General features: G+C 42.7%; 1 protein-coding gene across 17 annotated transcripts; it reads right to left on the reverse strand.

Annotated features, from left to right (window-relative positions):
- Positions 2,833–16,684, reverse strand: SIGLEC6 (sialic acid binding Ig like lectin 6). Of its 17 annotated transcripts, none has more exons than XM_011527537.3 (8): positions 16,596–16,684; positions 16,174–16,425; positions 15,695–15,973; positions 15,451–15,498; positions 14,738–14,995; positions 13,174–13,267; positions 12,761–12,842; positions 2,833–5,269 (listed from the first exon to the last, which is right to left on the reverse strand). In XM_011527537.3, the coding sequence occupies exons 1-8, from the start codon at positions 16,660–16,662 to the stop codon at positions 5,096–5,098; spliced, it is 1,254 nt and encodes a 417-aa protein (XP_011525839.1). In that variant the 5' UTR covers positions 16,663–16,684; the 3' UTR covers positions 2,833–5,095. The 17 variants fall into 17 exon arrangements, 16 of the variants coding, with proteins under 16 accessions (XP_011525839.1, XP_011525838.1, XP_047295690.1 ...); XM_011527536.4 differs by having other exon boundaries at positions 15,451–15,531; XM_047439734.1 differs by having other exon boundaries at positions 15,695–15,940; positions 16,174–16,533.

The raw sequence follows: 24,896 nt of genomic DNA on the forward strand, positions 1-24,896 counted from the left end.
TGGTTCTGCTCAATCAACTGGCACAGCAAGGAGTGGACTTTTGCATCATGACAAACTCAACCACAGTGAACCTGAGAGCGGGACTGAAGGAACTCCCCCTAGTGGCAGAATTTCATAAATACATTTGGCTTTTCATTTTGAGACTGAGAGGTCAGAAGGACAGATACAAACTGAACCATGCCTACAGCGTTAGGTAACACATTTTTTCCCAGAAATTTGTCCATTTTCTATAAGTATTCAAAACTTTTCATACAGCTTACTACTTTCTGCTTATTTTGCATTAGATTAAGTAATGTTTTCTCCCTTATATTCCTGCATACTAGTTATTTTTGCCTTCTATATTTCTGGACTAATTGCAACTGAGGTTTGCCCATTTTATTATTTGTATCAAAAACTAGCTGTTCGTGATGTTGTTCCTTTCTACTGAATATGTTTTCTATGCTATGTGCTCTTATCATTTGATATTTCCTTCTCTCCAATTCCTTTTGGTTTTGTTGTTCTTTTTCTAAGTTCTTGAAATTAAAGCTTAGTTTATTAAATTTTAGCTTTTCCCACCCTAGCATATACATTTAAGGTTATATATAGTTCCTCTAATAAATGCTTTAGTTTTACTCTAAAAGTTTTATAGTATTTTCAGTATCCAGTTTTAAATAATTTCTTATTTGTGTTATGATGATAATGATGACAATTTTTTTTAAGATGGAGTCTCACTGTTGCCCAGGCTGGAGTGCAGTGCCTCCCAGATCCAAGCAATTCTCCTGCTTCAGCCTGCTGAGTAGCTGGGATTACAGGCACATGCCACCACACCCAGCTAAGTTTTGTATTTTTTTTTTTTCAGTAGAGACAGGGTTTCGCCATGTTGCCCAGGCTAGTCTTGAAATCCTGACCTCAAGTGATCTGCCCACCTCGGCCTCCCAAAGTGTTGGGATTACAGGCATGAGCCGCCACGCCTGGCTGTATGTTTTGATTATTTAATCTATGACTTATTTTAAGGGATTTTCTAAGTTTCCACTAATTATGTACAGTTACATAGACATTGGTATATAATTACATTTTATTACTTATTTTGAGCTTAATAACATTGAAATCAATTAACATATTCTGTATGGTTTCACTTCTCTGACATATGTTGAAATATACTTTTGGCCCAGTATATGGTAAAAAAAAAATTTTTAATACTCCATGTGTGCTCAAATAGAATATGTTTTCTGCAGTTGTTTGGAGCAGTTTCTACCTATGGCCATAGACCAAGTTTGTTAATCATGTTATTTATGTATACTATGTTGCATATCCTTAACAATTCTCTTGTTTGTGTGTACCATCAGTTATTGTAAAATATGTGTTAAAAATTGCCCTCCATAAATGTGGATTAGGCTATTTTGTTTTCACTTTGCCTATTCTTGCCTTATGTATTCTGAAGCTATTTTATCATGTGCAGGTACATTTCAAATGTATCTTCCTAGTAGATTGAATCTTTAATCCCTACGAAGTGGTCCCTTTTACCTCCATTAATACTTCTTTTTGTAATAGACATATTTTCTGATATTGATATATTCAGTTTTATGTGTCAGTGTGTCTAGGTAACAGTCTCCAGGATATTCAATGAAACATTAATCTAGGTGTTGCTGTGAAGATGCTTTGTACACATGATTAAGATTTATAATCAGTTTAAGGAAGATTATGCTTCATAATCTGGGTAAGCCTGATTCAATCTGTGGAAGACCTTCAGTGCAGAACTGAGGCTGCTCTGAGAAAGAAGAAATTCTCCCTGTGGATTGCAGCTTGAGCTCATGACGAAGTCCTAGCTTGGACTTCCAGATGACCCTCCCTATAGATCTCGGACTTGCCTAGCCAGCTCCCACAAAAGCATACGCCATTTTCTTGCAATGAGTCTTTCTTTCTTTTTTTTGAAGTTCCTTTTTTTAAACTTTTATTTTAAGTTCAGGGGTACAAGTATAGGTTTGTTACATAGGTAAATTTGTGTCACGAGGGTTTGTTGTACAGATTGTTTCGTCACCCAGGTATTAAGCCTAGTACCCATTAGTTATTTTTTCCTGATATTCTCCCTCCTCCCACCCTCCTACCCTCCAAAATGCCCTAGTGTGTGTTGTTCCCCTCTATGTGTCCATGTGTTCTCATCATTTAGCTCCCTCTTAGAAGTGTCAACATGTGGTATGTGGTTTTCTGTTCCTGTGTCAGTTTGCTAAGGATAATGGCCTCCAGCTCCATTCATGTCCCTGCAAAGGACATGATCTCATTCTTTTTTATGGCTGCATAGTAGTTCATTGAGTATATGTACCATATTTTCTTTACCCACTCTATCATTGATGGGCATTTAGGTTGATTCCATGTCTTTGCTATTGTGAATAGTTGAATCTTTCAATACATACATCCTACAGACTTGTTTTTTCCAGTGGAAACTTGACTGACTACATCAGTTTCTTTTGGTTACGGTTTTCATGGTATGTCTTTTTTCATCCTTCTACACACAACCTCCCCTATATTTATCTTTTATGTAGATCTCTTATAAACAACGTATAGCTACACTTTCCCCCAGTCTTACTATGCTGGTATTTTAACTGTAGCATTTAATTCACTTGTGCTTAATGTGATTCTTAGACTGTATTTGAGTCTAAATACAGAATCTTATACTTGTATTCTACATGTTCTATCCATCCTTTTTTTCTTTAATCTCTTATTTCTTGTCTTCTCTGGTTTGACTGAATAATGTTTCTATCACCTTTTATACTTCCTCTAGTTCACAGGTGGTAAACTTGGCTTCGAATCTTTAAGTAAATTTCCTCGAGATTACAATAATAAATTATCCAAATGTAACATTCATCATAACATTTAATTTTCTCTGGAAAAATATAAAGACTTTATGTAATATAAATTCTATTTACACTCTTCTGAACTTTATGTTATTATAGTTTCTGGGCTATATAATATTGGTATTTCAATATTACATTTGATGTTTGACCCCTCTACAAACCATCATTTTTACAACAAGTATTTGTTTCATTTTGCTCACATATTTGCTACTTTCCTAGGTTTTCATTTTTTTTGGATCTCAAAAATCTAATCTGGGATCACTTTCCTAATACCTGAATTATATGTTTTAGAATTTATTTGAGAAATCTTTTCTTTATTAACACTCACATATTTTGGTTTTCCTTAAAATATCTATATTTCACTTTCAGTCTTAAAATGTGTTTTCATTGAGTAGGCTTTCTAAAACAACATTTATTTCTCTTAAGCCATCAAAGACATCTTTCTATTGCATTTAGCCTTCCAATATTGCTCCTAAAAAAGTCAGCTGTCAGTCTAATTGTGGTTTTTTGCTTGTTTGTTTGTTTTGTTTTGCTTTTTCTGAGTTGGAGTCTCGCTCTGTTGCCCAGGCTGGAGTGCAGTGATGCAATCTCAGCTCACTTCAACCTCCACCTCCCAGGTTCAAGCAATTCTCCTGCTTCAACCTGCAGAAGTACCTGGGATTACAGGCAAGTGCCACCACACCGAGCTAATTTTTGTATTTTAGTAGAGATGGGGTTTCACCATGTTGGCCAGACCAGTCTCGAACTCCTGACCTCCAGTGATCCACCCACCTCAGCCTCCCAAAGTGCTGGGATTACAGGCGTGAGCCACTGCTAACTGTGGTCTTTTAAGTGTAATCTATCTTTTTATTTTTCATGGCTACTCTTAAGAATTTTCCTTAATAGTTGGTCTTCATTAAATGCTTTCTTCAATTTCACTGGAATAGTGGAGACTGGGATTTGTAAGAGGAAGCTGTGGAAATGGACATGGGGTATTGGTGACTGGTGAGGAATTGATCTGGGGAAATCTGGATGGACAAGATCATGTAGAGAGCCTTGAGCAGAAAGATGATGGATGGAAACCTTATTTTGGGGAGTCGTGAAGAGTTCTGAACAGGGGGTGACACAGACACCTGGTGCTGTGGCCTCTGGGCCTACTCCTTTTCAGCCTTAGAAGAAATTGCCAGCAGAAACCGTCTGTTAAAACAGCTAATCAAAGCCGGGTGCGGTGGCTCATGCCTGTAATCTCAGCACTTTGGGAGGCCGAGGAGGGCAGATCACGAGGTCAGGAGATCAAGACCATCCTGGCTAACACGGTGAAACCCCGTCTCTACTAAAAATACAAAAAATTAGCCGGGTGTGGTGGTGGGTGCCTGTAGTCCCAGCTACTTGGGAGGCTGAGGCAGGAGAATGGTGTGAACCCAGGGGGCGAAGCTTGCACTGAGCCAAGATCGCACCACTGCACTCCAGCCTGGGAGATACAGCAAGACTCCATCTCAGAAAAAAAAAAAAAAAAAAAAAGCTAGCCAAAGCCAGATACAAGGCATTCATTTACAAAAATATACAGACTTTATGAAAACCTTTGTGTCAGGGCCTTTGTTAGCTGTTTTACAGCTAACAAAGCTGTATGTTAGCTGTATGCTTTCTTTGACCTTTCACAATAATCTGGTTAGATGGAAATTATTTCCCTGCCTTACAGAGCAGGGACATAAAGCGACTTGCTCAATAGCTGGCATAGATGGAGTTGAACTCAGTTCTCTTGGACAGAAGTCCTGTGGTCTGCCATATATACGAAGGTATTTATATAGTCCATTTACAACAAAAACATTAATTTTAAAAGAATTGGACACAGTGTTATGGGCTAAATTGTTCCCTTCTAAAATTCATATGTTGGAAGTCCTAAATCTCAATATCTCAGAAGGTTACTGTATTTGGAGGGTCTTTAAATAGTTAATTTATTTAAATTAGGTCATGGGGAGGCCCTAATCCAATATGACTAGTGTCTTTATAAGAAGAGAAGATTAGGACACAAACACACTCAGAGGAAAGACCATGTGAAGACACAAGGAGGAGACAGCCATCTACAAGCCAACAAGAGAGGCCTTAGAAGGGACCAACCCTGATAACACCTTGTTCTCAGACCTCTAACATCTGAAACTATACGAAAATAAAGTTCTGTGTTTATGTCACTCGGTTTGTGGTACATTGCTGTGGCAGCCCTAGTAACCAATACACTGAGAGGTACCATGTTCTCTCCAATCAAGGTTATGGCTTTGGACAATTCCTCACTTGTGTATCTTGATTTCTGAGTACTCAGTGTCGGTGACCTTTGGTTCCTGAGGTTGCACCTTGTGGAAGTGTAGGACAGCGTAGTGGAGCTCCTGCTCATCTTCTGAGATGGGGCCAGCCTCAGCAGGGTGGTCTGAAACTATGCCTGTCTGGAACTGGTGCTGATGACCCTTAATGGAAGAAAAGAAAAGATTCAGGGCTGGACAATAGGTTCTCAAAGAAAGCAGCCAAGGATCAGAAAGGGAGTAGAACTGATGGAACTTTATTATTTATCCATTCATTTATTATTTTATTTTATTTCATTTTATTTTATTTTATTTTTGAGATGGGGTCTCGCTCTGTTGTCCAGGCTGGAGTGCAGCGGCATGATCACGGCTCAGGCAGCCTTGAACACCTGGGTTCGAATGAACCTTCTGCTTCAGCCTCCTGTGTAGCTGGGACTACAGGCATGCACCCCACCTGGCTAATTTTTGTAGAGATGGAGTTCTACTATGTTGCCCAGGCTGGTCTTGAACCCTGGGCTCAAGGAATCCACCCACCTTGGCTTCCTAAAGTGCTGGGATTACAAGCATGAGCCACCACATCCACCGCATTCATTTATTTTAAAATATTTAATAATTAAGATTGGCAAGCCCTTAGTGAGTGTTTACATTAATCAGTCATATTCTATTCTCAAAAAATGCTTTGCAGTGGATTCCATGATTACATTCATCTTACAAACGGGAACACTAAGGCTAAGAGAGGCTCCACATGTTGCCTATAGACACACATCTATATAAATGCACCACTGAGAAGGACTCAGAACCAGCTTATTGTTGTGTAGGTCATGTGACATGTGCTAGATGTTAAGCCATGAAGAAAGCAGACACAGTCCCAGATAGTAGGCAGTGTGGTTTTCTATGAGATGCAGTTAGTTAAAAACAGGAAACAAAATCACTTTTTTAATTCATGATAGCAGATATTTTGAAATATAAAGCAGGGGCAGGAGTGGCATATCTGATTCCTAGACAGGTACTGGAGGACAGAACAGAGACCGGGTCCTGCAGTACAGGCCACCGGACGCCCTCTCCTGTACCTTCTCTTTCTAATGCCCCTGAAAACTTGAAAGTAAAGCATGGTAAAGAAATTATGTAATGATTCCCAACAAAGTGGGGATTTAACACACACTAAGTGTGTTATATCTCCAAATAAACCAAGAGGCAATACAAGAAATTATGGAATGAGCAAATAAGAAAAAGTGGGAAATCTCTGGGGAAACAAAATATTTTATACTGGAGTGTGTGTGTGTGTATATGTGTGTGTGTGTGTTCAGGGAGGCATTGGTGACAGTGCGTGAATGGCTACAGAAATGAGATTTATGTTCCACTCATGTCTTTCCTCCATCATTGGGATAATATATTCCTGCCTGCATTCTTGCTACACAAATCAGTGGCAAAGTCCGAGACTAAAGGTGTGAATTTCTGCAGGAGAAATGACAGATCAGCACAAAAGCCCTACTGAATGAAGAAAATAACAGGTGGAAATTGCCTCTCCCTGGGCTTCCCCTGGCCACCTTCCCCCATCCACACATCCCAGACTTTTGGAAGACAGTCTAGGTATTACCTCCCCCAGCACCAATTTTTCCTGAGGGTCTGAACAACAGGAATCATGACTTGAATTATTCTTGGTCAGTTCTCACTCAGGCTATGGTAGAGTAACTGGCACCCTCCCAGCATAATTAGAAAACTATACATAGTATGTAAAATATGTGTTTCACAAGGAAAACAGGCAGACAGGACTGTGACATCTGAAAGAAAGGAAACCAATGAGGTGAGTCTCATGATCAAATGACAATTTCCAAACTGCAGTACGTGGAGGATAAATTCAAGCAGAACACAAGAGTCTTATGAAACTGTGGAGGCAGCAACTGCAGTTCAAGTGGGAATGATGTGGGTGGAATTTGTAGAGCAGAGTACAGAGAGAAAAAACTACACAGAGAAAGAACTCCAAAAAATATGCATAGAGGTCCCCTTGAATCTTTGGCTGAATACTAAGCTGTATGCACAGAGTGAAAGGCTGAAAGCCTGGGTACGTGCTGCTGGAGAAGGAACAGCTATGAGAAAGCTGGAATGAAGGCAAATATAAACTCACCCTGCCAAAGCTTTTGTAAAAATCTTTGAATGGTCAAGACAATCCACTAATAAATTAACTGCATTCGAGAACAAAGCTCAACAATTTTTAAAGGAAGATTAAAATATCCGGATAATCAACAATGTAACACGATGTCCAGTATGCCACCAAAATCACTACCTATGCGAAGAAGCTGTGGAATGTAAGCAATGAAAAGTATATCAGTAAATAGAAACATATCACCAAATGATGGAATTAGCAGAAAAGAAGATTAAAAACGGCTATAAATACACATATTCAAAGACTTAGGCCAGGTATGGTTGTTCATGCCTGTAATCCCAGAACTTTGGGAGGCTGAGGTGGGCAGATTGATTTGAGCTCAGGAGTTCGAGACCAGCCTGGGCAACATGGTGAAATCCCATCTCTAATCCCTAACCCACAAAAAAATTAGCCAGATATGGTGGCTCACGCCTGTAGTCCCGACTACTCGGGAGTCTGAGGCTGGAGAATTGCTTGAGCCCAGGAAGTGGAGGTTGCAGTGAACTGAGAACATGCCATTGCACTCCACCCTGGGCAAAAGAGTGAAACCCTCTCTCAACAATAACAAAAACTTAAAGGAAAACAGAACATAATAAGGAAATGAAAACTATAAAGAACTGGGCTGGGTGTGGTGGCTCACACCTGTAAGTCCAGCAATTTGGGAAGCCGAGGCAGGAGTACTGCTTGAGCCCATGAGTTTGAGACCAGCCTGGGCAACATGGTGAGACCCTGTCTTTACAAAAATTTGTTTAAAAAATTAGCCAGGCGCAGTGGTGCATGCCTGTAGTCATAGCTATTTGAAAGGCTGAGGCAGGAGGATCACTTGAGCCTAGGAGGTCGAAACTGCAGTGAGCCATGTTCATGCCACTGCACTCCAGCCTGGGCGACAGAGTGAGATCCTGTCTCAGGAAAAAAAAAATAAACTGAATTGAATTTCTAGAGATGAAAAATGGCAATATCTAAAAAGAAAAGCTAATAGCAGATTAGGTACGGCAGAAGAAAATAGCAATGAACTAAAAAACGTAGCAATAAAAACTTTCCAAACTGAGGCACAAAGAAAACACAAAAACGAAAAATAAATAAGCACAGCTTCATTGGCCTGTGGGACAATATCAAGCATTCTGACACAGGTGCAACTGGGATCCCAGAAAGGGGAAGGGAGTTAAAGAATTATGGAAAAAACAATGATTAAAATGTTTTCACAATACCAAGTCATATATCCAACAATATCTGCAAATACCAAGAAAGATAAAAACAAAGAAAACCACACCTAGGCATGTCATAATCCTATTGCTGAAAACCAACAAGGAAAAGAAATGTGCCCTAGGGAAGCCAGATGATTGGACAACCCTGCTAGAGGATAAAAGTAGTAACTCTCCTCTCAGCAGTCTGATGGAACTGGGTAAACCAAATTTGATGTTCCAGGTCTGATAAGGAGAGGCCCAGTAAACACCTCAAACCTTCCGTTAGGACTCAAGAAGGGTTACAGATTAAAAGTAAGGGTCCGCTGGGCACAGTGGCTCACGCCCGTAATCCCAGCACTTTGGGCGGCTGAGGCAGGTGGATCACGAGGTCAGGAGATGGAGACCATCCTGGCTAACACGGTGAAAGCCCGTCTGTACTAAAAGTACAAAAAAAAATTAGCTGGGCGCGGTGGCGGGCACCTGTAATCCCAGCCACTCGGGAGGCTGAGGCAGGAGAATGGCGTGAACCCAGGAAGCGGAGCTTGCCGTGAGCTGAGATCGTGCCACTGCACTCCAGCCTGGGTGACAGAGTGAGACTCCATCTCAAAAAAAAAAAGTAGTAATATTTTAAAACTATCAAAAAGGCAAAAAAGGGAGATAAATATAAAAGGACAAATATAAATATAAAGCAGAGCAATCTGGTAGAATTAAACTGAGCCAAATCAATAATCACATTAAATATAAATGGTCTAAACACTCCAATTAAAAGGAAGATATTGGCAGACTTGATAAAATAGGTAGAATAAATGTGATATCTGTAAGACAGACACAATACATATGAAGGCACACATGTGTTAAAAGTAAGAGGAGGGAAAATGCATAACAAACAAGCACTAATATTAAGAACACTAGAGTGGTAATATTAAATCAGACAGTGTATTTTAGGAAAAGAAATATTACCAGAAATAAAGACATTTCATAATGATAAACAAGTCAATTCATTACAAGATATAAAAATCCTAAGTGCATATGCAACCAATCACAGAGCATGATTTAACAAAATAAATTGTAAAAATAAGCAGACAGAGAATCACTAAGGATATAGAAGGATTGAACACTAGTGTAAAATAACTTGACCTGATTGACATTTATAAAATACTACATCCAGTATCTTCAGAAAACACATTCTTTGCAATTGCACATGTAACATTCACCATGGTAGACTGATTTTTCATGTACTTATACTACCAGTTACTGAGATAAGAGTTTTTAAAAAATCGACTATGGAGTGTGCGCCACTCTAATGGAGAGGAGATAGAGTGGCAAATAAACATTAGCTCGCCAACTAGACCATCCAGAAGGACACGTTGACATTCATCAAGGAAGCAACATGACCCGGAGAGCAGAGAAGAATGAGACAAGGCAGCTCCCCAGGATTGGCATGGAGCCAAGGGAGGCTCCCCACGATGGGGAAACAGTGAGCAAGTGACAGCCCCCAAGGACCCACACTTCTGCCATGGACCTTTGCAGTCCTGGGCATGAGAGATCCCCTGAAGCCTCCAGACTGACATGGAGAGCTGTGCGGAGTCTGGGCAGGGCCACTGCTCAGGCCCATGTGGAGCCCCAAGGGCCTTGGACCTATGAGCAGCTGGGCACCAGGTGTCATAGCTTCACCAACAAGAGAGGCCAGGTTCTCTCACATGCTCTCAGGGTAGGGACCACATTTATGGTGCTGAGGAGCTGACAGATTGCATACCTCACCTCTGCTACAGCTCGCCAGAGAAAGCCCACTGGCCTGGGACCCCAGCATAGCCACCTCACCCCTGCCTGAGCACTTGGGCCAGTAGCAGCTCTCGACTTCTCTGGGACAGGGCTCCCAGAGGTAACAGACAAGTCTGCCATTTTTTCTGCCGCCACAGCTCCCACTCCTACTCCCCCGAGGCTGGAGAAGGAGAAAAGAGCATAAGGACTATCACTGGCCTCCAACACACCGGAACTGCTTTATGGAAAAGCAGCCAGACCGTATCAGTGTGGGTCCCTGCCCCTGTTATTCCTGACTGAGAAGGACATCCTGACCCGGGCCCCCAGCACAGCTGCCCTGCCCCCACCTGAGTTGGTGGCAGTTCTGTGTTTCTCTGAGGAGGATATCCCAGGGTCAACCCACAGGCTCTTTGCCATTGCCACTGCAGTGGTACTGCCCTTGATGTCTTCAGGCTGGGAAAAGAATAAAGACCTTGATCACTTTGCTGGCACCTCCAACACACTACAAGCACCATACAGAAAGGAGCCCAGTCTCGCTTCCCTGTGGGACCCCTACTCCCTGCTCTTCACCAGGCAGGGCCCCTGGCTGGGGCCTGCAGCACAGCGGCCCCACCCCTAGATGAACGTTCCCATTGGCAGTGGCTCTGTGGCTTTCTGGGGTGGAGCTCTCAGAGCAGCTGGCAGCCCCTCTGCCATTGCTGCTGCAGCCATGCTGCCCTTGCTGCCCTCAGGCTAGGGAAGGAACAAAGAGCCTGATTTATTTGGTGGAACCTCCAGCATGCCACAGCTGCACTACAGAGAGGAGCCCAGTCTCTCTTCCCTGTGAGCCTCCAACCGTTACTCTTCACCAGGTAAGTCCCCCTGCTTGGGCCCACAGCACAGCTGCCTCAACCCAGGGTAATTATTCCAATTGGCAGCAGCTCTGCATTCCTCTAGGATGAAGCCCCAAGAGACAAGGAAAAAGCCCTCTACCACTGGCACTTCCAAGGTCCCTGCCCCTGCTGCTCCAAGCTGGGGAGGAAACAAAATGCCTGGGCTCACCACGGGGCTGTAGTGTGCAGCCTGAGTGCCAAGTCAAGATCTGTAGCCAGCACTTGAGTGAGAGAGGAGCCCACACTCTCAGAGCACTAGGAGGGAGCATGGCTGCAAATGTGAGGAACTACAGAGGATTCATGTGGCTGAACAAGAGCCTACCTGCCAGCCATTATGCTTAAGCACCACCTATTGGATCACATCCAAACTTCAACACCAAAAATACTTTGCTAATATACCCCACTGTGAAACTAAGGACAAGAATTTAGCAACAAATAAAGATCGTGCACAAAGCGTTGGCCTTCTGAAAACGTCCAGAAACAAAGCCAACTGACTATACTCAAATGACAGCACAAGTAAGGGAACATGAGCCCACATAAATGAGAAAGAACCAGTGCAAGGACTCTGGCAAATCTAAAAGCCAGAGTGTCTTCTTACCTCATAATGACCACACTAGTTCCCCAGCAAAAGTTCTTAACCAGAATGAAATGGATAAAATAACAGACGAAAAATTCAGAATCTGGATGACAATCAAGATTATTGAGATTCAGGAGAAAGTAGAAACCCATTCCAGGGAATCAAAGGAATCCAGTAAAACAATTGAAGAGATGAAAGATGAAATAGCCACCTTAAGAAAGAACCAAACTGAGCTGATAGAGCTGAATAACTCACTATAAAAATTTCATAACACAATCAGAAGTATTAACAGCAGAATAAACCAAGCTGAGGAAAGAATATCAGAGCCCAAAGACTGGTTCTTCAAATTAACTCAGGCAGACAAAAGAACAAAGAATTTTAGAAATGAACAAAACCTCCAAAAACTGTGGGATTATGTAAAGAGACCAAATCTACAACTCATTGGCATCCCTGAAAGAGAAGGAGAGAGAGCAAGCAACTTGAACAACGTATTGGAGGATATTGTCCACAAAAATGTCCCCAACCTCTCTAGAGAGGTCAGCATGCAGATTCAGGAAATTCAGAGAACCTTGGTAAGATAATATATAAGACAACCATTCCCAAGACACGCAGTCATCAGGTTCTCCAAGGTCAATGCCAAAGAAAAAATATTACAGGCAGCTAGAGATGCCTGTAATATTGTAATAGTGATGAGCAGTAATGACTTTGGGTTGATTTGGGCTGTCTACTCTAGGGCTTGTGTCTACCACATTCCTTGTACTTAATGCACCTGACACAGACTAAGTTTTGTTCATTTCTTTTTCTCAATAATCAATGCCATAAGAAAAGACTAATATTCCAGGAAATATGATAATCTGACATATGAGGAGCATAAATACCCCCAGCAAATTAACTGGAGTACGTATTTCATCAGAACTATTAGATTCAGTTCCAAATGTTACTATTTTAAATTATTGAAATCAATACTTTTTAAATTATTACTGAGTCAAAAATTTAAAATGTCACATGTGGAACCGCAGGGAATGTCAGGTGTTAATGAAGAAATGCCTCAGGGTCCTTACTTAGGGCAGCATTCAAAAGGGATAATGCTGAATGGAAATTAAGGTCTCTGTCACTCACCCTGGAGCCTGAGACCATGACGGGGTTCACATCATCCGTGTTTTGCACTGGCTGGGCTGCTTTCTTCCTTCTAGTCTTCACTCTGAGGGAACAGCCCTAAGCCTTTCAGCCTGGTTATTTGGAGCCTCTTTCCCCAAAAGAAAACCATCTCCCCACTCCCTATGGAGAGTACAGAAGTAATTAAGAGGTCCAGGTGCTCACATGAGCCCAAGAGTTGGACCACGGTTTCAAAGAGACCCCTTGCTTGGTTCAGCTGGTCAACGGGGTAATTCACACCACCACTACCCTCCCTTTCCTCACTCTCGACTTTCCCAATCACCCCATTTTCCTCCACTCAGGTTTTCTGAGATTCTGCCACCTGTGTGCCCTTCCCACATGAAGTCTTTCTGTGCCTCCCTGGAGCCCACTCTCACCTGAAGATGAAGCAAACACAGAGGAAAACCAGGGTTGTGATGCTAGCTCCCCAGACTGCTCCCAGGACACCACCAGCCCTGCCTTCTGGTTTCCCTATAATTTGAATTTTAAGTGAACTCCAGTTCTAATTCCAGGACATCCTCCCAACAGCCATTCCTCTCCACCTTCCACTAATGTGACCACCCCCATCCAGGACTCAGTCACTCACCATTTCACTGCCCTGTGAACCCGGAACCAGCCTCTTCTCTCTCCATGACTCCCCCTTCCCCCAACTGCAAGACTGAGGACGTTGTGCCCCCAGCCACTCTTGTCTGGGCCTTGGAAACATCTTCTCCAAGCTTCATTTCTCTGGAGCAGTTAGGGGTTGAATTATGTCTCCCCACAATTCCTATTTTGAAGTCCTAACCCCCAGCACCTCAGAGCATGACCTGATTTGGAGAAGGGTCATAGCTGATGTAATTAGTTATAATGAGGTGTTCCTGGATCAGGGTGAGCCCTAATCCAATATGACTGTTGTCCTTATAAAAAGGGGAAAATGTGGGTCGGGTGCAGTGGTTCACACCTGTAATCCCATCATTTTGGGAGGCCAAGGCTAGCAGATCACCAGGTCAGGAGATCGAGACCATCCTGGCCAACATGGTGAAACCCTGTCTCTACTCAAAATATAAAAATTAGCTGGGCATGGTGGTGGGCGCCTGTAGTGCCAGCTACTCGGGAGGCTGAGGCAGGAGAATCTCTTGAACCCGGGAGGTGGAGGTTGCATATGTCAGATTACCATGTTGCAGTGAGCCAAGATCGCACCATTGCATTCCAGCCTGGCAACAGAGTGAGACCCTCTCTCAAAAAAAAAAAAAAAAAGGGAAAATGTGGACACAGACGCACATGTGGACACAGACACCACCATGTGAAGATTAAGTCAGAGGTCGAGGCAATGCTTCTTTAAGCCTAGGAACGCCAAAGACTCCCAGGAAACCACCAGAAGCCAGGGAAGGAGCATGGAAGAGATTCTCTCACAGCCTCAAAAGGAACCAACTCTAACACCATACATGATCTTGGACTTCTGACCTTGAGAACCGTGAGACAATAAATCCCTATTGTTTAAGTCGTGCACTTTGAATTACTTTGTTATGGCAGCCCTAGCAAACTCATACAAGGACCCAGGCTTCTCTTCCCCCAATTGTCACCTCTTAGCAGACTCCTGACCTGGCAGCAGCTGGGACAGAGCTGCTCTGGGATGTTCTGGGCCTCAAAGCTGAGCCTGAGACTTGAGCTGAATCCCTGGCAGGGGCTCAGGGAGCTGTTGACCAAGGGTCCGGCTGGCTGGGGGTGACTGTGAAGGAGCCATGGCTGCTGTTCCCATCCCTCCAGAATCTCCTCCCCAAGCTGCCAGTGCAGGGAGGAGCCACTGCAGTGTGGACTCTAAGCCTCCCAGAGGTAGGAGGGTCCCAGCAGTTGTGAGGGGTCTGGGGAGGGAGGACAGGACTTAGCAGGGGCCTCTTCTCTGAATACTATGGAGCTCTCGCCCAGCTGCCCACACTCTCGCGCACCTCCCCCCACACTCACAATGCACAAAGAGACTCAGAGAGATTTGCAGGGAGCCCAGAGGATGCTGAGCACGGCAGGTGAAATCTCCTTCTTCTGCAGACCCTACTTGAGGCAGCTCCAGGACCCCGGTATTGGAGATGGGGGTGGCGTTCAGGGCGGGGAAGCCCTGGAACCAGCTCAGGTGTGCAGGGGGGTTGCCGTCAGCATCACAGAGCAGCCGCAGAGCCTGGCCCTCCAGGACAGGGAGGGACGAGGTGTTTTGCAGGATTTTGAAGGCTTTGGGGAGAGAGGTGTAGAGAGTTAGAGATGGGGTATAGGGGCAAAGCACTGGTGTCCCTCTCCTCCTGTGGGGTCCACACTAGCTCTGAGGAGGAGACTAGTAAAGTGGGGGCCTCAGGTCTTCAGAAAAGCCCAGACCATTTCCCTGGAGCTGCCCAGGCTGTCCTGCAGAGAGTGGAGCAAGGGCTGCGGACAGCGTCGTGGCAGACAAGTGCCATTCCTGGACCATGGAGACGCCTGAGGCAGTAGGAAAACAAGCAAGAGAGAAGAGGGAGTGCGAGGGGTGTGGCAGCTCCTGCCGAAGAGGCGACAAAGGCTGGGGGTGAGCAAAGATTCAGTCCAGGTCTTTGAAGTCTATGGAGGCCTTAGTCCTGGCTTCTCATATTGATCCCCGTTAGTCCCCACTCTGCTTCCATCTGGCCCTGGAGAGAACAGGACTGGCTGGTTCCTACCTGCGCTGTTTCCTTGGAAGATGCTGATGGCCACTTTCTGTGGAGCATCTGGGGTGGAAAGAGGTGGCCGCCTCAACATCCCTGAGGAGGGATGGTAGGCATGGGGCCTTCCCCTCAGGAGCCATGAAAACAGGGAAAGGGGCTCTCCTCTTTGGCAACCAGGTCCCCAACTTTAAGCTCTGGCTCAGCCCTGCCCTGTCCCCCCACACCCTCAGGGACCCGGGCGTCCTGGCCCAGCACTCACAGGAGACATTGAGCTGGATGGTTCTCTCCATGGTCACACCGGCTCCAGGGAACGTCACCTGACAGGTGAGGTTGGTGCTGTGGTCCTGGGGCCGTGGGGTGATTGTGAGCACCGAGGACTGGGTGGTCCTGGGGCCCAGGGAGGTGGGGGCAGCTGACATCCAGGAGAAGATGGGGGGCGTCCCCTGCTCACAGACCCAGGGCACAGAGCAGGTCAGATTGCTGGGATGGCCAGACTCCAGGGTCCCTGGGATGGAGATGTTGGGCCTGTGGGTCAGGGCTGGTGAGGAGATGGGGACGCAGGATCAGGATGGAGGTCTGAGGTTTCACCCAGGGGGAAGCCCAGTCTCTGGTCCAGCTCCTTCTCTGAGCCCAACATGCTTAATTGTACCCGCCTCCCAAGACGGGGCTCCCGTCCCAGCCCTGCCCTACGGCCCCCATGACCTTCCCCTGTGGCTAGTCCTGGAGCTGGTTCCTTACCCATCACACGCACAGAGAGCTTGGAAGATGTATAACCGTATTTCATCCATTTGGACTTCAACCGAAAGAAGTATGCAGCATTGTCCCTCCTCCGGGCATCTCTGATGCTCAGGGAGCAGTTCTTCCTTCTGGGATCCCAGAGGAGGTGGAATCGGCCCCGGGTCTCCTCCTGCACTTCTTCGTCTGGGTCGTTTGTGGCCACTGGAACATCAGCCCCTTCCAGGAACCAGTAGCCATAACCATAGTACGAGGCTGGAAGGGTAGTGGGCAATCTGCAGGGTACGAGGACGCACAGACCCTCCTGCACCGTCAGTGACTCTGGCCCCTCCAGCTGGAATCTCCGCTCCTGAGCCAGGGCCCCTATGGAGACATGAGGGTCAGCTCGGCCCAGCCCCACGGCACCTCTCCCCTGGCCCACTCACCTGCCCACAGCAGGGGCAGCAGCAGCGGTAGCATCTCTGAGGCGGAGGCTTCCTGGGCTCCCTGCATGAGCAGAGAAGGGGAAGGGAGTGGAGGGGAAGGACTGCGGGGAGGAACGGGTGGCTGGGGAGGAGCGCGTGATCTCGGCTGTTCACAGAAGAGGAACTGCGAAGCCACAAGCCCTCGGAGCTCCACTCCCTCTGCACAGAGCAGACGGAAACTTTGAGACCCAGAGACCTGCCCAAAGAAGAGCAGAGGAGAAGAGACTGTGTCCCGCCTCCCACCTCGGGGCTTCCTGTGAGCAACAGAGCCCGGACCAGGGCCTCCCGGGGCATCTGAGGAATGCGAAACCTGTGTCCAAGGCCCTGCCCACCTGAGGTGCTTTTCTGTGCACCACTGTTTACACCTGGGAGCTGGTCACTCCTGGCCCCAGAGAGTCACAGCCTCATCCCACGCCATGAGAAAGTCAGTCCTGCAGGATATAGGATTCTGTAGGGTCTGTGGGAGTGTCTGGGACAGTGAAAGGAAGAAGGGTCCCAGGTGCAGTGTGGGTGATAGCCACTCATTCATTCACTCATTCATTCATTCATTCATTCATTCACCAAAGACATAGTGAGCATCTGTATGTAGGTCGGGCTGGAGAAGAGATGCCAGGGACCTGGTCCCTACCCTTGAGATGATCCCCATCCATAGCTTCCCATCCTCAGCACACACCCTCACTATCTAGCTTTAGAGCTGTGGACACTGGTGAGTTTGCCAAGTGACACAGTAGAATGCCAGATATTTTTTAAAACATGAGTATGGAGGTTTTTCCTTGACAGCTAGTACGCTGATTTACAAAATTTCAATGACATCTCCAAAATAAGAACCATGCAACATCTTCATGTAAATCAAAAAGGACACATATTTTATGAACTGCAGTGCAGAAGAAACTTCTTTTGAATTAATGTTGCCACTCAGTGCAGTGTGGACTGGAGAGATTTTTTTTTAGGTCCTCATCATAGAGATTAGCAATTTCTTTCCTGTGAAAAATCTGCTTCTCACAGTTAAATGTGGCACAAAAGACATATTTCTGGACAACGTGAGCAGAATATCCTGACAAAATTAAAATTTTTAGGTCTAGCTCACATGGTTTTCTATTTTCCTCTGTGCAGTATGCATCTGGCAAATCTCTAATACCTATGAGGTATTAGAATTTGCCACCATATATTTGTAAATTTTTTTATTTCTACAAACTTAAGGAGTAGATGTAAAATTTTTTTGCATGTATATAATGCGTAATGATTATGTCAGGATATTTAGAGTGTCCGTCACGTGAGTGCAATACATTCTTGTTAACTAAAATCACACTATTCTGCTCTCTAACGCTGAATTTATTCCTTTTAACTGTATGTTTGTAGCACTTCACTCACTTCTCTTCATCTTCTGTCCTCCCCCATCTGACCCTTTCCAGTCTCTGTTGTCTATCTTTCTACTGTCCACCTCCATGTGATAATATTTTTTTAGCTCCCACATGTAAGTGAGAACATGCAACATTTGTCTTTTTGTGTCTGACTTATTTCAATTTAGATAATGAATTCTAGTCCCATCCATGTTGCTGCAAATGACACGATTTCATTCTTTTTTATGGCCAAATAGCATGTATACTATATTTTCTTTATCCATTCATCTGTTAATTGACACTTAGGTTGGTTCCATATCTCTGATATTGTGAATAGTGCAGCAAAAATCATGTGAATGCAGGTATCTCTTTGATGTATTTCTTTCTTTCCCTTCGGGTAGATACCCAGTAGTGGGATTGCTTGAGTGATCGAATAGTAATTCTATTTTTAGTTCCTGAGAAATGTCCATAGTGTTTTCAAAAGTGGCTGTACTAGTTTAAATTCCCACCAACAGTACAGAAGAGTTATCTTTCTCCTCATCCTTGCCAAAATCTGTTATTTTTTGTTTTTTTAGTAATAGTCATTCTGACTGGGTAAGACGGTATCTCATTTTGGTTTAGATGTGCACTTCTCTGATGATTAGTGACGCTGACCATTTTGTCGTATTGGCTGTTCTTATGTATTCTTTGAGAACTGTCTATTCCTGTCCTTTGCCCACTTTTTACTTGGATTATTTGCTTTTTCCTGTTGAGTTGTTTGAGTTCCTTGTATAGTCTGGATATTAGTCTCCTGTCAGAAGAATAGTTTGCGAATATTTTCTCCAATTCAACAGGTTGTTTCTTCACTCTAATTATTTCTTTTCCTGGCAGAAGCTTTTTGTTTATTAAGTCCCATTTGTTTATTTTTGTTTTTGTTGCCTGTGCTTTTCAGAACTTAGTCATAATTTCTGACTCTTCTGACCAATGTTCAAAAGAGTTTTCCCTAGGTTTTCTTGTAGCTGTTTTTTTTTTTTATAGTTTTGGGTCTTACATTTAAGTGTATGATTCATTTTGAGTTTTTTTTTAATATGGTGAGAGAGAAGAATCCAGTTTCATTCTTTTGTGTGTGGGTATACAATTTTCCCAGCACCATTTATTGAAGAAGGTGTCCTTTCCTCAATATAAGTTCTTGTCAGTTTTGTTGACAATCAATTGGCTGTATACATGTGGCCTTATTTCTGGGTTATATTCCATTGGTCTATGTATCTATTTCTATACCAATATCATGCTGTTTTGGTTATTATAGCCTTGTAATATACTTTGAAGTCAGGTAAAGTGATACCACCAGCTTTGTTCTTTTTTCTCCGGATAGCTTTGGCTATTCAGGTTCTTTTTGGATCCATATGAATTTTATAATTGTTTTTTACAATTCTGTGAAGACTGACATTGGTATTTTCATATGGATTACATTAAATCTTTAGATTGCTATAGACCAGTGTGGGCTTCTTAACTATCTTAATTCTTCCAGTCATGAGTATGGGATGTTTTTCCATTTGTTTGTGTCATCTTCAATTTCTTTCATCAGTGTTTTTTAGTTTTTCCTGTATAGATTTTCACCTGGTAGGTCATTAAGAGCATATTGTTTAATTTCCATACATTTGTCTTGTTTCCAGAGTTCCTCTTGGTGCTGACTTGTTGTTTTGTTCCATTGTGGTCTGAGTATACATTGAGTAAATATTGATTTTTTTTTTAATTTATAGAGACTTATTTCGTAGCCGAATATATGGTGTATCCTGGAGAATGTTTCATGTACTGATGAAAAGAATATGTATTCTGCAGTTGTTGGGTAGAAGTTCTGTAAAAGTCTGTTAGTTCCATTTGGTCTATAGTGTAGTTTAAATGTGATGTTTGTTTGTTGATTTTCTGTCTAAGTGATCTGTCTTACTGAGAATAGGGTGGTGAAGCTTCCCACCATTATTGTATTGCATTCTATCTCTCTCTTTAGATCTAGTAATATTTGCTTTATAGATATGGCTGCTCCATTGCTGGGTGCATATATATTTAGAATTGTTATATCCTCTTGCTGGGTTGATCCCTTCATCATTATATAATGACCTTCTTTGTCTTTTTCTACTGCTCTTGACCTAAGGTCTGTTTTATCTAAGTATAGTTACTGCTGCTTACTATTGGTTTCCATTTGTGTGGAATATCTTTCTCCATCCTTTTACTTTTGGTCTATATGTGTCTTTTCTTAAGGTGTGTTTCTTTAAGCTGCACACTGTTGAGTCATTTTTAAAATCCATTCAGCCATTCTATATCTTTTAAGAGGATACTTTAATCCATTTACATACATGGTTATTATTGATTTGTGAGGCTTTCTTTCTGTCAGGTTATTAAACATTTTCTTGTTTTAAACATTCGTTGTTTCTTTCCTTTTATCTTATTGTTTGTCCTTGTGATTTGGTGGATTTCTGTAGTGGTACCATTTGAGTCCTTTCTAGTTCTCATTTGCATGATTGCTTTACCAGTGAATTTTTTACTTTCATATGTTTTCGTGATGATAAAATCATCCTTTTGCTTCCAGGTTTAGGACTCCTTTGAGTATTTTTTCCAAGGCTGGTCTAGTGGTAATAAATTTCATCAGCATTTGTTTGTCTTGGGATGAATCTATTTCTCTTTTATTTATGAAGAATAGTTTCTTTGCATGTTCTGTGGTGGCAGTTATTTTTTCTTTTAGCACTTAGAATATATCAGTTCCTTCTTTTCTGGTGTGTAAGGTTTCTACTGAGAAATCTGCTCTTAGTCAAATGGAATTTCCTTTAGAGGTAGCTAGATGCTTTTCTCTTGCTATTTGTAGAATTTGCTCTTTAACTTTGACTTCACACAGTCTGACTATAATGTGCCAAGGAGAAGACCTTTTGCATTGGGGATCTGCCCGGGGATCATTGGGCCTTCTGTATCTCTATACCTAAATCTTTTGTTAGACTTGGGATGTTTTCATGTATTATTTTGCTGAGTAGGTTTTCCAATATTTCTTTGTTTTTTCACCCTTAGAGATACCAGTAATTTATAAATTCCATTGCTTTTTGTTGTCCTAAATGTTATTAAGGCTATGCTCATTATTTTTTGTACTTTTCCCTTTATTTTTGTCTGACTAGATTATTTCAAAAAACCTGTCTTCAAGTTCCAAGATTCTTCTGCCAGATTTAGTCTATTATTGAACTTTTCAAATGTGTTTTGCATTTCCTTCAATTAACTATTCAGTTCCAGAATTTATATTTGGTTATTTTAAAAAATATATATCTCTTTGATCATTTTCTCATTTATACCCTGAATTGTTTTTCTGGTTTCCATAGTATTGATTTTCAGAATTCTGTTGTATCTCACTGAGCTTCTTTAACATCAATATTTTGAATTCTTTGTCTGGAATTTCAAAAATTTCTTTGTGATTAAGATCTATTTCTGCAGAATTCTTGTGTTCCTTTCCTTGCTGTTTCATGTTTCCTGTGTCCTTATGTTAAAATCTGTGCATCTAGTATAACAGTAGCTTCTTCCTATTTTTTAATTTACTTTCATAGAGGACATTTCTTTTTTTTTTCATGGTCCAAGCATGTGGTGATTTTTATTAAGAATAACTTTGGTTCTAAGAATTCCACTCTCAATTCTTTAATGCTTTCTGTTAAAAACAATTATACAACGGCAAATACAAAAAATATTAAATTATGAAAACCAATCCATTAAGGCTCCCTTTATATATAATATACACTCAAACAAGTCAAGATTTTTCAGAGTAGAAGAATAAAATCAACTGTTATAGCTTAGAAAGCAACACTACTACTATGAGACTATAAAACATTGAACTACTTTAAGAAAATCACAATGTGGAAAAATGGAGCCTTTTTTTTTATCAAAAAGTGGCTCAAAGCACAAAACTGCTCAGATGTTCAAGGGTCCCAGGGGTTTGGGCTGCACAGTGTTAAGGGGAGAGAGGAGACTGACAGCCTGTTTGAATCAGGCTTGTGAGCCCAGCCCATCTGACAATTTCAAAGAGCTTCTCTGCCTAAACATTCCACCGTTTAGTATAAGACACCACTTTACGCTATTTACAAGTCTCCTTTTGGCCAGCCTTTGTATTATTAATTACAAATAATTCTGCAGATTTGAGTGAGATTAGGAAAGAAATGCTTTCTTAATTAACTTTTTTTTTCAGTGAACAATTAATTCTAGTTAAGCTCTAGGAACAGAATTGGTCCTTATAAAGGAGCCTATCAGGGCCCTTGAGAATACGATCAAGTGGCAGAATTGCTTTGAGAATACGGATTTCAAGATCTGACATCTAGTTAGATAAAAAGATATGAGCCAGTCCCGAATAGAAGACATTTCTTGAAAATGTATCTACGTTGCTTGTTTGGTGGGGTGCTTTGGCTTTGATTCTGTGTATGTGCAGTAGTGTACTTTCTGTATATTTCTTTGACTGTAAACAGCATTAGTGATATGTGTGATTTCTTTGGCTAGTTGGAGCATGGTTATTAGTGGAGAATATGGTAAAGTTGTGCTAGGGACAGGGATGCTGAGCGGGAGAGTCTTCAGGTCCCCAGCTTTGGCATCAGTGGGCTGAGCATCTATCTTTTTGCCCCAGGGTGGTATATGCTGGCTTCTCTGTTGGCAGTTACCAGTGGGTTGATTCTTGGGCTTTCAGGTTGCTCATTTGGATGCTCATAGTAGCACCAATGGATCAAGCAATTGTGTGGGTTTTCAGGCCCCTGGGCAGCCAGCATGGCATTGACAATAGCAATAGCATGGGCAAGATGATTCTATGAGTCCCAAGTGATGTGCATTAATGTTGGTGCTGGCTGCAATGGGCTGGACAAGACAGCCTTTGGACCCACAGTTGGCACTTGCAGGTAGGCGCCAGGCAAGGTAGTAGCAGCCAGAAGTTTAGATCCAACCTCAAGCCCCCAGAAGAAGTGCTCAGGTGCCCAAGGTAGTGAATTGGGTCGAGCAATCCGCAGGACCCTGGGCTATGTGCTCTGTCTCAGAGCGGGAGAGGTGAGGTGAAGCTGAGCTAGATGGGTTTGTGCTCAGGTCCTCAATGTTGACAGCAGGCACTCGTCATTGTGGGCAGGGTCAGAGCAATCGTCGGGTCCCAGGCAGAGGATTACTGAAGAGGGTAGGGCCATCTTGAGTGGTCATAGCCTGGGTCAGTTGAAGGTGGCGGAAGAACATATGTCCCTTTCACACTCCAGTCCTGGAGGGGCTCGACACCCCCCCTCACCCTGGTTGCTGGAGCTCCCATCTGGCTTGCAAACAAGTTCCAATGGCAATTTGTGCCCCTCTTGCATCCTTGTCTCAGATCCTGGCAGTGCTTGCTTCACAGCCACAGCTGACCAAACCTTGCTCACTTTCTAGCCCCACCTGCAGGAGCACTCCTGGTTCGATCTCCTGTCCCAGCAGCAATAGCTTGAGTTTCTGTAATGCCCCAGTTTCAGTGTCTCTGGGTCCTTGAACAGCATACAATTTCCAGAGGACAAGCTTGAAAATGCTTAAGTGTCAGAAAGGTGTGGAACCCAGCAGGAGTTCCCTTCCCGGAGTAGTTCTGTCCAATGGTGTCCTGACTCTCTATGTTAGTTTCATAGGGTTGAGTGCTTCTCCCTTGGCCAGGATTGCTGAATTCCGCCATGGAGATGTGGATGACTGGAAATCCCTAACTCAGTCCTTTGTGCATGGGAAGTCACTCCCAGCTCCCAGCCAATCCCAGCCAGGGAGGCTGCCTCTTTTCCTTCTCCTTCCCTGTTTTTGATGTCCTCTGCCACTTCTCTGGTGGATTCCAGGATTTTCCCTTGGATAATGTAATTCGACTGTGACTGTCTATACATTACTCTGGTTCTTCTAAGTGGAGGAGGCAGGCATGAAATGCTTCTAGTTAGTCGTCTTGAACTACACTACCCTTATTTGAACAATTTTTAAACACAGTAGTATCTAGATAAATATTCATTCATCCTTACTAAAATAAGAGAGCTAGTTTTACCTTTATTTGATATATAAGTAATTGAGCCACCAATAAGTATAATACCTGTCCTAGATTATCTTTTAAGTAAAAATGTGGCACATAATAGAAAATTCAACGAAATTTGTTTTAATAGTAAATAAAGTTATATCATGCTCATAGACTGGAAGGTTAAATATGAAGTTGTGATTTCTCATTATGTTTCTTTAATGAACTTTATTAGGTATAATTTTATAGTTTAATTTGGAATTTATTTTGCCTAAAAGAGTTCCAGTGAGAGAAACATTTTGACATAACAGTGAAAACAAAATCCCTCATACCTTAAAATTAAAATTTTTGGATATTTGTACCATAAGCTTGCCCGGCCTGTAAGAAGCATCATTTCTACTAGAGATTTCTCACCAAGAATAAATTAGGTCATTTTCATGAGGAAAACAAACAAAACTCTTAGTCATAACTTTGATCCATGTTCAATCTCCTCAACAAAGTTTTGTGTGCATTATCTCTGTACTAGAGATGTGAATTTTTAAAATTAGCAACACATATTTTTAATATACCTAAAGATATTTCCTTATTCCTTCCAATAATTATCAATAAAAGGAAAGGCAGGTATACGTATTATTATTATTAGATCTATCAGCTTAATTTTAATTTCTAACTTATATCTTTATCTAAATTGCTCAGTTTAATAAAAATAATTTAATGGGTTAAGACACTGCCTTCAACTGGGTTTTAGTTTAGAGCAGGAGACAGACCCTACGTGAATATTTAACGTTGCATCTGGGCACTTTTTCTGACCTATGCCAGTTTGCCAACCAGTGTTTGTCCAACATACAAAGATAGGCTGCATATACTCAGAAACTGAATTACTGAGATTTCAACAATATACAAAAGTCATTTCATATGCTCAAACTTTCCATTTATTCTCTTATTTAA

This window comes from Homo sapiens, chromosome 19 (genome assembly GCF_000001405.40).
Source record: "Homo sapiens chromosome 19, GRCh38.p14 Primary Assembly".
NCBI classification, from domain to species: domain Eukaryota; kingdom Metazoa; phylum Chordata; class Mammalia; order Primates; family Hominidae; genus Homo; species Homo sapiens.